The following is a 15,027-nucleotide window of genomic DNA, read 5'->3' as shown; positions in this document are numbered from 1 at the left end:
AGCAAACTTACACAAAGTTATACCTCAGGCCATAAACATCATTAACGATGATGTAATATATATGTTAATTATTTATAATATTCAAGTAATATTAAGAAATAATAATACATAACAATTATAAAACATTATACACAATTAGTCTAGCAAGAAAGGGTTAATTTTCAAGTTTCAAGCATTTTTTCATTTCCATCAGACAAAACAACCTGAATTTTAGAGGATTTGCAAAATTAGGCTATATCAGAAATATGTATGTAAAATATCATAAATATTTTTATAGAAATGTCTGATACATAGTTTGTTTATATCCATGTGGCCTCAGAATTTGGTTGATTACCTGGAAGAGTAGGAGATGGGATGTGAGTGACATATGGGTGATGCTGAAATCTTGGTGGATTGTCATTGACATCAGTCACAGTGACAAGCACACTGGTGGAACTGGAAAGAGGCTCTGGGGATCCCGCATCACTGCAGACCACTACCAAAGTATAATTATCTTTTGTTTCCCTATCTAACAATGCGCTGGTGATGATTTGTCCTGTCGATGGGTTGATCGTGAACTGAGAGTTTCCACCGATGATCCTATAACTAAAGCAGAAAGCAGAAATAGGGATATGTCATATAGTTTTAATATCGTAACTTCTATTTACTATAATTAAAAAACTGAGGTAGAAATGCAAGAAAACGTTACAAGAAAGATCATACAACAATGTTGGAAAGAATACAACTAGTCTAGCTAATAAATATTTCAAATTTTCTGTGAACATCACATTGACAGTCTTTATCGTGAGATGTCCAGTGATGTCAAGGAAGTCTTCACAAGGTTTTTAGGACTCTTAAGTTGTGCAAGGCCACCAAACAAACCCCTAAGGCTTTAAATAAATGAGCCTAAAAGCATAAATCAGGGGACTTGCTCTAATATTGTGGTTAGTAGCCAGGATTACAAATGAATATCTTTTAAATGAAACTAAAAATTATTTTTCTGCTGTATACCATAATAAACCAGAGAAGATCAGTTGAAAATTGTATTCTTTTAAGACAAAACCTGTATTTGACATGTATCTGCTTCTCAGAACAACTCAAGGACTGATTATTTATACAAAGACCTTTCTAGTGATTAATTCTGTCTTTGTCATTCCTCATATGGTTTTGTTGCTTTCTTGTCAGGAGAGGTATGACATCTTCATGGATGTTTTGATGCTAACCAGATAGGTTAACGGGCAAGAGTTTCCACTGAGAAAAGCTTCTCTCTTCTTTCTGAAGAGTACAGTTGTCTGCATATATTCCTGATTTTGTGTATAAGGTGAGGTCCCAAAGATCAGCCAGGAAAGAAGTAGCTAAGCTTGAAGGTTCAGAAATTGGCTATGGTCCGTAATTTTTAAAGTTGAAAGATAGCATGGAAATAGATATCTTTAAAAGTTTTCTTCTTTTATACCAACAAATAGATACCCTTGTTGGAGTTGGCTGCATGTTTCTACAGTTTGCTTTGTGTCTATATAAACATAGCAACAGCATATATCTAATATAAACTGCAGGGGAAAAAACTATATTGCAGCCAGTAGTATGTTCATTCTCCTATTATGCTCACAGCTTAAAACAAATATTTCAGCATTTTTTATCCTACTTTAGTGAAATAATCAACTGTTGAGGACCTTATATTTAAAACTATTAGAAGTCTTATAAAATGATAGCAAAACAGGGAAAGAATAGAGAAGTGGTTTGGTTGAGAAATGGCTTCAGTATTGATAAAATACTTTGTGTCACTCAGATTTTTAATATGCTTGGCAAATCACACGACAGAATCAGGCATGTGTGAAAATAGCATTAACTATAGTTATTGGGCCAGAAGTGACTATTAGGTATAATTATTGCCCTTTACAGTAGATAATATATATTCTCTTTATCAAAATATAAATATCAAGTTTTATACATGAATTCTTAAAACTTGAAAATTCAGGACTCACAAAATAATCAAAATACCTTAACGTTTTACAAAGTGTAGAAAACTGGATTTGAGAATTGTGTAATTTTATTTTTGGAACCTTGTTGCTGTCAGTGGATGTAGAAATAATCAAATAATTTAATAGGAAAATAAAGTAAGCCATGCTGCCATAAACTTTTTTAGTTTTATAATGGCAAGGATCAAGGTTCAATCAAATATTTATTCCTATAAATATTCACAAATAAAAATAAAATGAGATTGATAAAAAACATAAATTTTCATCTGGATGTTTTGTATATGCCAAGACCATGGTGTATTATTAAGCGTAATGTGTTGATAGGCAAATGGTGTGGCCTTTAGTCCAGTTTCACTAAATGATCCATTCAAAAAGACTTGCTATCATTTAAATGTTCCTTGAAATTAGTCATTGTAACAGTGTTGTAACAATGTTGAGAAGTAGGGCCTTTAAGAGGTGAATTAGACCATCAGGGTTCCATCATTATGAGTGGATTAATGCCATTATCACGGAAGTGGGAGTTAGTTATTGAGGGAGTGAGCTTCTGATAAAAGAATGAGTTCAGCCTGATTCCCTCTCTCTGTCTCACATGATTGCTCACCATGTGATGCCTTCTGCCCTTCTGCCATGAAATAACACACAGGAAGCACTCACCAAAAGCAGGCCCCATGCCCTTAGACTTCCCAGCCTCCAGAACTGTGAGCCAAATACACTTCTATTCTTTATAAATTACCCAGTCTGTAGCTATAGCAGCACAAAACAGACAAAGAAACCTATGGTATAAATTCTGATTTTTTAATTTTATGCTATTGCACATGCTATTGCCCGTATGACTGTCTATTTTAAAGTAGGTAATATATTTAGTATTTTTTAAAATGAATGAGCAAATAGTCATTAATATCTAATTAATTTTTTCTAGACTTCACTAGATTCTAAAGCATATAAAAGTATATTTTAAATATGAGATGTTCTATAACACCAGTTGGATGAAAATTTATACTTCTAATTTTAAAAATAGAAGAAACACAATAAGCTCTGTACGTAGATCGACAGTTAAGATAATATGTCTAGATTTTTGCCACATCTCTTACTTGAGGCTTGGTTCTATTCTCATCCCTCCTGATGACCTCTCTTGCTTCTCTGGCCTGCATTAATTTTTGTAAAGTTAAAAACTTTATTAGATTGTGTCTTGTGGTATCTTCTTAACAGTTAAACATTTATGCTGTTACTTAAATATTTCCAGGAGCTTATTGATTTCTTAGTGCATGTCAAGCACACTACTGGGCAATTTATATATGCTCTTATTTAAATCCCAAAACTATCCTTATAGTTTAGTTTTAGTTTTGACTGTTTAGGGATAATGAATCTGAATCTAACAGAGACTAAAGTAGTTGCACAAAGAAACATACAATCTATAAATAGCAGATCTAGAGTTTGAATTTCTGTCTTTATGACTTCACCATGCACTTTTCCCATTATTCCACAGTAGAAGGAAGGTAAAACTCAACTGAGGGAATGTAGTGAAGACGGAAAATGTACCAATTGCGAAGGCCAACATGGACTCTTGCTCAAGTTGTGTCAATATAGAATTTGTTCACATTTAGTTCAATGAAAATCAATAAACACGTTAAATTATTTTCTAATTTGAGAATACATTACTATTTCAAATTATTTGCATAAACAGAGACCACTGTGATCTGAACCCTAAATCAACTATTGCTTTTGTAAAGTTAAAATATCCCCATTTGATTTTGTAAAACTTCTTTGCCTCTTCCTGAGATCTACTAGGGTTATAGGCATTATACTGTCTGCTGGGAGAATATGATCATTTAGTTAAGAGACTGGACTTTAGAACATAGTTCACTTGGACATAAATTTAAACCCCATGAATAGCACTTAAATTCACAAAAATTTCTTAACATTTTTAAGCCTTCTTTCTTTATCTGTAAAGTGGAGGTCATATTTTACTTTTTATTTGGTAGTTTTGACTATTAAAAATATTTTGTATAAAGAGCACTTGGCATTGTAATTGATAAATGGTGAGCCTTTAAAAGTCTAAGTTTACCAACATAATAGGACCTATATAATATATATGTATAACGTAATAGTCTATTACATACAATCTATCCATATCTATCTATACATAGGTTGAGTATCCATTATCCAAAATTCTTGGAACCAGGGGTGTTTGGATTTCTCTGGATAGAATATTTGCATATACATAATGAGAGATCTAGGGGATGGGTCTCAAGTCTGAACACAAAATTCATTTATGTTTCATATACCTCATATACATAGCCAGAAGATAATTTTATCTAATATTTTTGATAATTGCTTGAAACAAGGTTTGTGAACATTGAAACATCAGAAAGCAAAGGTATCAGGTGTGGAATTTTCCACCTGTGGCATCATGTTCATGCTCAAAAAGTTTAGGATTTTGGTGCATTTTAGATTTTGGACTTTCAGATTAGGGATGCTCAACCTATATTTAGATAGTTAAATGGATAAAGGGACTAAAAATTCAAAACAGAGACACGGTTAAGTAGGTTAAAAAAAATCCTGGTTTCAAGTTTATGTCCTTTATGACAGAAAGATATAAAAAAAAGGTAATTACAAAACAGTAAAGTGCTATGAAACAGTAAAGAGGTGTCACTGTAGGTATTCAGAAGACAGAACACTCTTGACTGGAATGATTAAAATAAAGCTTCCTCAGAGAAAGGTAAATTTAACATAAGTTGTAAAGGGGCTACCCATCTTTCAATAGTGTTCAAAAAGGCAGAAACAAAAGAAGGTCTAGGCTAGTGGTCAGCAAACCTTTTATATAATGGGCCAGATTGTAAAGATATTCAGTTTTACAGGTCATATATTCTCTGTTGCAATACTCAGCTTACCATCATATGGCAAGAGCAGCCAAAGACAATAGGTACATGAATGGGCATGGCTGTGTTCCAATAACACTTTATTTACAAAAACAGGCACTAGGCCCAATTTGGCCTGCAGGTAGTAGTTTGCCAAGCCCTGGTCAAAGATATAGAATAAATTGAGCAAACCTATAAGGCTTGGGAAAGCACAGATCCTTGTCCCATGAGCAGAAAATGATCCAGTAATACTGAACTTTTGGCCATATGTTGCAGAGTTTTGCAGAATTAGCTGGGGCCATTTATGGGGTGACTAGAATTTGAAGACTGGGGGTTATACCATAGGCAAACTGGAATTGAAAGATTTTGAGGAAGGAAGTATAATTGTTAAAGCAGAGCCAAGAGATGCTCATGTTGATGCATACTTCTGCCATTGCCCTTTAATTCACTGACTCCAGCTTTGCTTTGTACAAATTATTTCCTATAATGCTGGGAAAGAAATAATTATGAAATATAACTAGGCATGTTTTTGTGCTTGCTGCTTAAAACATTTCCATTGTTTCTCTCCTTAGATGCAGAAAGAAATTTTGAATTTTTTATATGGTATACAAAGTCCATTCCTAACCCACACCAACCATATGGAAATACTTTCTTTCTCTAATGCCATGTTTTTTGCATAGCTCTTTGCCTTAGTACCTGATACTGTCTTTGCCTAGAATATCTTTCATTCCTTTATTTCTCCATAAACTACTTCTACTTAGTATCATTGAAGGATCATTGGCCATACTATTCTTTCCACCTATTCTGTGCTTAAACTATACTTGTTATACGGTACTACACTTAAGAAATTACAAAATTATCTCTTCTATTAAATTGCACTTCTTATGGGCCCTAGAGTTCCAAACTCCTGAGAGTTTAATAAATTTTTGGTGCATAGTCAGGGCTTCATAATTTTACAGGACAGTGTACTACATAGATTGGAAGGATTAGAAACTAGAGGCGTGGAAGTGAGTTAATTCTTATTATAATAGTACAGGCATGATGTAATTATGAACTGAACTAGGATCTTGGCAGAAGGGATGCACTGAAAAGAATGGGTGCCAGATGCATTAGAAAAGAAGAAACATGAGAATTTGTCCACTGATTGAGTATAAGAGAGGGGATGACCCTTAGCTGCAAGGTGTGGTAAAAAACAAACCAAGACAATATTATTAAAACAAAGCAGAAAACCAAAATGAGAAACAGGAAAAGCAAAGAATTTTAGGTACACTGTGTTTATGATGCCAACAGAACCTCCAGTGTAATATGTCTATCAGCGAGTTATAAATATGGGTGCAAAATTTTGGAGTGGAATCAGAGTTGATAGTACAGATTTGGAGGTTTTGTTCACAGAATTGATGCTTGCAGCAATGGAATAAATTCTCTCTCTCTCTCTCTCTCTCTCTCTCTCTCTCACACACACACACACACACACACACACACAAGTACTGAGAAAATAATGCAGTGAGAAGTATTCAAATTACTTTCCAGAGAGAGAAAAGAGAAACAGAAAACAAACTGTGTGTGATCAGAGATGCAGGATGATAAGAAATAATATTTATATAGACATTGAGCAGGAAAAAATGCCAAAAAGAAAAGATGGCCTGGCCTGTAGTGTGAACATTGCAAAAAGTAAAGGAGAATAAGGACTTAGAAAAGTCACTGGACTTGAAAAATTTCAGTAGTCTTCTGACAGGGCCTTTTTTTAGTAAAGCAATGAAGGAAAAAAAAAATCAGACTAAAGATTTTCAGGAATAAATGGTCAGAGAAAACAGGTTGTGAAGCTTTCAAGAATGTTGTAGTAAAAATAGAATGAGTAAAAGCAGCCATTCCAGAGAATATTAAAATCGTTCATTCAATGCATTTATTTAAGTGACAACCACTGTTATGTACCAGATATTGTAAAAGAAAGAATATATTAGGAGTAAAAAAGATGATATGAGAAGAATAAAAAGAAAAAAGAAACCTTGAATTAATTTAGTGACTTCTATGTCCTAATAATTATGCCAGAGACATTTATGGATATTAACTGATTCCATACATACTGTTTGATACATAGTAGGTGGTTAGTAAATGTTTGTCTCACAAACTGTAAAGTATAAATTTTTATGTTCATTTTTATTGATGCAGAAACTAAGCCTTTGAGGCACTAAAATGACTTTCCTAGGCCATGGGAGGCAAATAAAAGAACCAGAATTCAACAGAAATTCTGAGCATTTCTGTAGATACGCTAACTTATGTAAATGAGCATTTATATAGATATCTACATGGTTCAAGGAAGAGAGAGAACTTGAAGAAACACAAGAAAAATGAGTAACTTTTGAATTAAAGAGTTGGAGGAAATTGAATGGGAAGAGATTAATAGCACATATTAAGAAATTTTCCTGGCCGGGGCGCGGTGGCTCACGCCTGTAATCCCAGCACTTTGGGAGGCCAAGGCAGGCAGATCACGAGATCAGAAGATCGAGACCATCCTGGCTAACACGGTGAAACCCCATCTCTACTAAAAATACAAAAAAAAAAAAATTAGCCGGGCATGGTGGTGGGTGCCTGTAGTCCCAGCTACTCAGGAGGCTGAGACAGGAGAATGGCGTGAACCTGGAAGGCGGAGGTTGCAGTGAGCTGAGATCACGACGCAGCACGCCAGCCTGGGTGACAGAGCGAGACTCCATCTCAAAAAAAAAAAAAAAGAAAAGAAATCTTCCTTAGAATGTTGACTTTGTCAGTGGAGTTTGTGGCTGTCTCCAGGGTTGTGATACAGAAGAATTAGAAGTGGGGCTTGAATAGAGATTTGGTCCAGTTGGGAGAAAAGGGGATACATATCTGTAAAAGCTAAGCTCTGGAATAGATATGTGGAAGGCAAAGACATAATCTGGATAGAGAAAGACTAAGAATTAATACAGTCTGATTTTCTATAAGGGAAAATACTAAAGGTGAAGTAAAATGTATAACATAAAGTAAGTACACCATTTGTAGAAATACAAAGTTTGATCAAATAGGTAGAAGTAAAAAAGAAACATTGTTGGCTGGATGCTATATGCAAAATCATGCTAGATCATTGGAAAAAAATTAACTTATAAGACACATAAAAGTTTATGCTCCTGGAGATCCCAACAGTAGTTCAGTAAATAACCGAACCATGTAAAATTTAAATGGGAGATAAATAATTAAACCAATAGCTCTTTTAATCTGAAGAAAGAATAGATTTTCTTCAGGATACCATGAATAGCAAGGAGTTATTAACACCAACCATAAAATACATTATATTCCATTAAGATTTTATCAAACCAGAGTAAATAAAGTTGAGGTTATAATAACTATTTACTTTGTCTGTGAAAATATTTTCTATTTAAGCTGCAATAATTGTTTGCCCTGTTAATTTGCAAGTGAATTGAATGTTTTTTATTCACAAGACAAAAATAGCTTCAATTTTCATTTTAACTGAATATATGATAGTCTGTAGAGTCATTTTAAGATTTTCACTGATGGGGTTTTTGGATTTCAATGTATGTAAAAGTATAATGTTAATTCTCATGTTAAAAGAAGAAAATTTAATCAACCAATCAAATAACCAAAATACATACTACCAAAGCAAAACAATCCCATCAGACCTACCAGTACAGCTTTGTAAAACAGTTTGAGAGTATGAATACAATTTTTCTAGACCAAATTTACAAGCATAATTCACAAGCATAGGATAGCATTTTGCAATGAATCTTTAACATGCACTAGAAAAAAACAGCAGGTCATCACAGCATTTACTTTATTATAGAAATAAATGAATGACTCAATGGAAGACAGGATCAAGTTTGTAAACATTCAACTTCATATTCAGGAATTTATACATCTCATACAAGAGAATTTCCCTATATCTGATTGGTAATATTCTATATACTGTCTAAGAAACAGCATCTGCATGGCAGATAAAGAATTATTAGATTATAACATTACAATAGATAGGGCATCTCTTCCAAAATCATTATCAGAAACTTATTTAGCACTAACAAATGATAGACAGGTAGAGGGCTAGGTGCTTTGCATGATTAGAACAATATGGGTTGACATTTATTGAGCATTGTTTTTTGTTCCTGGTGCTATTCTAACCAGCTCACTTAAATTATTTTACTTACTCTCTTTAAAGTTAGTTTCATTATTACTCTGCTTAATCCACTGAAAACCGGGTCCAGAAATGTTAATTTGCCCATACTAATGCAATAGTAATAGTAGAGTCAGGATTCAATTCCACACAACTTAATTCCCAAGGTTCTACTCTTAATGTTAAGCTAAAGACTTTGGATTGAATCTTATGATATGATTTTTATTATTTCTATGCTTTGGTATAAGACAAGTAAAAGAAAGGGTATTTAGTGGCCTTTTGAAGCTCATAACCTGGAAGAAGTTCAGTTGTACCTGCCTCTCTCTGGTTGGTGCTAAGTACAATGACTCAAACGGGTTATGACCCTGGACAGAAATTTCTCAGTCCTCTATGATTTGACTTTACAGGACTCTGAGAACTCAACTCTTCTCTTGGAATAAGTCTTGGTCCACTGAAAGAAATCTGTATGTAGCTCACTGAAAGAAATTTGTATATAGCTTTCCATCCTTTTGCAATGCATGCAAATAATTCATTCTGTCCTGCATTTCCTCTGTTGTCTCTAGCCAGGCCTCCTTAACTTCAGACCTTCTTAACTCCTACCTTAACTCCTAGTCTCCTTGGAGACCTTTCCTCCTAAACCTACCTTTAAAGTGTTGGAGAATTCCCAGTGACTGGTTCTAGTGCCTCTTTCCTTATCCTGCTATACTCTCTCTGATATGGTTTGGCTGTGTCCTCACTCAAATCTCACCCTGAATTGTAATAATCCCCATGTGTCGGCCAGGCATGGTGGCTCATGCCTGTAATCCCAGCACTTTGGAAGGCGGAAGTGGGCAGATCACCTGAGATCAGGAGTTGGAGACCAGTGTGGCCAACATGGTGAAACCCCATCTCAACTAAAAATACAAAAATTAGCCGAGTGTGGTGGCGTGCACCTGTAATCCCAGCTACCCAGGAGGCTGAGGCAGGAGAATCACTGGAACCTGGGAAGCAGAGGCTGCAGTGAGCTGAGATTGTGCCACTGCACTCCAGCCTGGGTGACAAAGCAAGACTCCATCTCAAAAAAAATACATAGATAAATAAATAAAAATAATCCCCATGTGTCAAGGGCAGGGTCAGGTGGAGATAATTGAATCATGGGGGCAGCTTCGAGCATACTGTTCTTGTGGTAGTGAATAAGTCTCACAAGAACTGATGGTTTTATAAATGGGAGTTCCCCTGTACAAGCTCTCTTGCCTGCTACCATGTAAGACGTGATTTTGCTCTTCCTCACCTTCGGCCATGATTTTGAGGCCTCCCCAGCCAATGTGGAACTATATGCCCATTAAACTTCTTTTTCTTTATAAATTACCCAGTCTCAGGTATGTCTTTATTAGCAGCATGAGAACAGACTAATACACTCCGCAAACGTGTTCTCATTCAGTTTATTGGTTTTAAATGTCCTCTAAACACTGATGACTCTCAAATGTGTATATCCAGCCCTAACCCCAACCCTAAGCTCCACACTCATATCTCCAGCTTCCTAACTGGTATCTCTAAATGAATGAGTAACAGTCATTTGAAACTGTATTCAAATAGAATACTTCTGACTTCTCACAAAACTGTTCCTCCTTCAATGCTACCCATTTCAGTAAATGATATCATATCATGATCTGCCTAGGTGTTTGAGTGGAAAACTTAGATGATTCTGATTTCTCTCTTTCATTTGATCTCACGTCCAATTTCTTTGTTTTTTTTTTATTATTATACTTTAAGTTCTAGGGTACATGTGCACAATGTGCAGGTTTGTTACATATGTATACATGTGCCATGTTGGTGTGCTGCACCCATTAACTCATCATTTACATTAGGTATATCTCCTAATGCTATCCCTCCCCCCCTCCCCCGACCCCATGACAGGCCCCGGTGTGTGATGTTCCCCTTCCTGTCTCACATCCAATTTCAAAGGTATGCCCCAAATCTATTTACTCAATTTTCATTTCTCCACGTAAGTACAAAGTTACTCTACTTGGATAACTATATTAATTAGTGCCTAAATGGTGCACTGGTTTCTCTCCGTAAATCCTCTCTCATCAGATTCTATCCAAATGTAGACCAGTTTATGTGTCTCTTCTGTTTAAAACTCCCCAGTAGTTTCTCACCTAAAGGTAAATTGGAAAACCCCAATTCTGTATCGTGACATATATGGCCTGTATATGGCCTGCATGATTTAGCCCCTGCCTACCTCTCTGACTCCTTTCTCACTCTGGTCCAGACATGCTGACCTTCTTAGATAAAACAACGAGATTAATTCCATTCCATAGCTCAGTCCTTTCAGCTTAAAGGTCATTTCTTAGAGAGACCAAGTATTGTGGTCTGAATGTGTTTCTTAAAATTTGTGTGGTGAAAACCAGTTTTCCAAAATGATTTTGTTAAAAGAAAATTGGTAACAAACAACAAAATAAGACATGAATCAGCTCATTACCATATCCGTATATCTGGTACCCATAGCTGATAATTCTTAATGTCTCAAATTTTATCTTCTGCTCCATTACTTTCATAGCCATCTAACCAACTCTAATTTACCTAATACCAGCCTATAGAAAGTGGAGGAGGGGTATAAAATATTTATGTGTGTGAGTTTTTCTCTAGAACCTTTGGAAATCTTCATTTCTTGTAGTTTAGAATAGATATGGAAGAAGGGGACAATCTAGGTTGATAAAATGTTGCAACTCAAATTTCTTTCACATCCTCTCTGAACAAGTTATCATATTTGTGTTCTCAATTTTAAGAGGATTTAAGCAAAGTAAAATACATTTACTAAATGAAGAATACACAAATATTCTTATTAGAGCTAGTAGTGGAATAAAAATGGTCAAAATTCTTTGACATTTCTCCAATCAACGAGTGATGCATGTTTCTCCTCACAGTGAATCTGAGCTGGTCACCACTGCTTTGACCAACAGAGTATTATAGAAGTGCTGCTATGGCACATCTGAGTCTGACCTTTGAGAGTTCTGGGAGCTTTCACTTGTGGCTCTTGGAGTTGAGAACCACCAACTAAAAAGTCCAACTACTTTGCTAAAGAACCACATCAGGAAGTTCTGAGACTACTTGAGGACAGAGGGGGCCAAGATGATCCTGAACCTTCCAACCAACCCTGCCAAGGCAGCAGGCATGCAAAGTCATCTTGGCCCCTCCAGATCATTCAGTCACCATGTAAATACTGTGAAGTGCCACCAGTCAACCTCATGAGACAGAAGCACCCAGTGTAGTCCCAAACCACAAAACCATGAGATATGATAAAAATATAAATAAAATAAAAATTAAATAAAATCTTAGAGTAATAAGTAAAATGTTTACTGTTTGAATCTTCATTTAATGAATTGTTGGCTATCAGCAATGGATAACAAGAAGAGGATATGTGTTAATATGACGTTCATTTAAATTAAACATTATATTCATGTAGTTCAAAAACTAATGTTTAATGAGAAAACAGACAAACTTTACAAAGGAAAATGTACTGACCTTATAACTGCATTCTTTGAAGCATCAGCATCTGAGGCATTTACCAATAAAACATCTGTTCCAGTTGGTGCATCCTCAGGAATTGTTGTGAAATACGCTTTACTGGCAAATGTGGGGACATTGTCATTGACATCATCTACTATGACGTTGATTGTTCCAGTTCCAGTCAAGGCAGGGGATCCTAAAAAGAAAAGAAAATCAAGTCTCAATGTTTATAAACAAAAAATAACAAATTTAACAAAAATTAGCTGTAGACAGAATTACTAAAGAGAATTTAGGAAACATCAAAGTAAAATTTCTGAACACATAAGTGATTGAGTGATTTTTAATTTTGTTACAAGACAAATGTTTTCATTTGTGAACTAGAATTTCAACTCTTTCCTAGTAACTCTGCACGAAAAGTATATGTCATGCTCTTATTCTATTTTAAAGGTGCTGATTCAACAATGTAGAACACAACAATATCATTTGAATGCCACAAAAGAGGCACTGCCGGTAATTTCTCTGAAATTACATTAAAATAGCACAAAACCAGATTTGAAGAATACCCACAGGCATGGAAGAGCTGGCCAACTAACAAGGCAATGTTAAAAACTGGACTCTCAGCTGTGACTATCATTGTTACTATCACAAATTCCAGAGTCTCTGAGGTATTTAAATCCCTTTCCCATACTGTCTGTGGGAAACAAAAAATAGCTTCAAGTTATATCTCAAAAGTGTTATCTTCTACGTGCTAGAATAACTTCATAATGATGAGCTAACTCAGAATCATGTGTGCTGCTTCTACTTAAAATTCAATGTAACGTGAAATGATTCATTTTTATTTCCTGTTCCAGCTGCTATCAATATATGGTGAAAACCCAACATTTGCCAAACACTTGGGCCACACTATCTGTACTAGACTAATTTTGTGGTGAAGGCTAGATGCCATATGTGTTGGAATTCTGTGGGCTGTCCCCATAACTGAAAGACAAATTATCTGCTGTTGGTTGTGTTTTCAAAACCGTTTTTCAAACTCAAACTCTTCTAAATAGAAACAATGAAGATCCATTTAACTGCATTTATGTAAAATAAAATAAAACCCCAGATACTCTCCTTTTCTGCTTAAGATACTACTTTACCTTCAATAAAGTTATTTCCCTTAATATGACATTTAAATTCTACTTAACTTTACCATTCAATATTCTGTAAATAAAGCCACTCATTCATTTATTTGTAAAATGTTTATGGAGTGCCCTCATTATCACAGAATGGTATTGAGATTCACAACCTTACCATATTATTTTCTAATAGTCAAGTGATTTGCTGGTATTTCCTTTACCACTATTCAATCATTCTTCTATGTTCTTAGATTGTAATTACTCGTGGCCTAGTACCAATGAGCTTTTATGCTCAGATGTGTGTATAGGAACCAAAATCAACAGATGGGGAAATTATGGAATGAAATGGTTTTGGAGATCTGTTATTTTTGTGAATTCTAGGTTAGATGAAAGAATGTGTATACCCAGTTGAGCAGAGCACAATAAAGAAGCATGATACCTCCCAGAAAATGATGCAATTAAATTTAGACTGCACACTGATCATTGTTGCCATATATATATATATATCATAAGATATTTTATATTAAGTGTTTCATTTAAATTAACATACAAAGTCAAAAAATTTTGACGTCTAAGAAATATCTAAAAATTTAACATAAAGTTTATGACTTCAGAAATCTTACCTATTAGTGTTTGATTTTACACTAAAGGGAAAAATAGCCCTCAATCTATTGGTAATATGCATAATGAACTATAAACTAAAAAAAAATGTAAATGCCTTTTTAGTACTTGCTTACTGTAAGCAATGGTAAAATTATGCAACAAATATTTCACACACACAAAATAGATATGAATGTAGGATACGATAAGAAACACATCAAATAAGACTGTCAAAATTCCATGCAACATATTGAAAGAAATATCAATAACAGTAAATATTTGTTTAGTCCTTAGATATGCATGCACTGGTTTAAGAAGTTTACATAAACTGTCTTATCTAATCCCCATAAATCAGCACTGCTGTCATCTCCATTTGGTATATGAGTAAGCTCAAGTTTAGAAAGTTTAAGTAGCTTTTTCAAGGCCACAGACCTAGTGAGGAATGTCACTGAGATGTGACCCATGTAAAGCAGCCCTGGAGTCTTTACCACTGACAAGAAGCTGGAAGGTACTGCCAGTAGGGGGAACAGTGCTGCTTCCTGCGCTGCTTTGGGGGTCTGGACAAGCAGCTCTGTCGCTGAGCCTAGAAGAGCACCAGGCAGGAGGTGAAGAGGCCCAACAGGGAGGGACCTTCACTACTGGCCAGCTTAAGTTTGTGGGACATTTGAGCACAATAATCTTGGCATAGATTTTAAATTTCTCACAAGCAATATATTAAGGCTAAAATAAACAGTTTGGAGTGTATTGTTGAGTACCAATGTTTGGCTTAAATTTCTTGAATGTGTGTTTCACTATATACAATTTTATGAAATGGAAGTTAATGCTCTGAATAATGTTAGTAGAATTCCCACCAGTTGCATAAAAAAAAAATTACC

General features: G+C 35.0%; 1 protein-coding gene across 6 annotated transcripts in view; it reads right to left on the bottom strand.

The window, feature by feature from the left end:
- The window catches only part of FAT4 (FAT atypical cadherin 4), a 177,978-nt gene that overhangs the window by 46,055 nt on the left and 116,896 nt on the right, over nucleotides 1-15,027 (bottom strand). For 5 of the 6 annotated variants that reach the window (NM_001438396.1, NM_001438397.1, NM_001291303.3 and 2 more), the window contains 2 exons: nucleotides 12,453-12,633; nucleotides 335-585 (listed from right to left, as the gene is read on the bottom strand). In NM_001438396.1, the coding sequence (NP_001425325.1) occupies nucleotides 335-585; nucleotides 12,453-12,633 (432 nt within the window). The remainder of the gene's footprint in view (nucleotides 1-334; nucleotides 586-12,452; nucleotides 12,634-15,027) is intronic. The other variant, NM_024582.6, reaches the window with a different exon arrangement.

The sequence above is a fragment of the Homo sapiens genome, chromosome 4 (genome assembly GCF_000001405.40).
Source record: "Homo sapiens chromosome 4, GRCh38.p14 Primary Assembly".
NCBI classification, from domain to species: Eukaryota; Metazoa; Chordata; class Mammalia; order Primates; family Hominidae; genus Homo; species Homo sapiens.
Note: the sequence above shows the minus strand (reverse complement) of the source record. Positions and strands in the feature narration are given on the sequence as shown.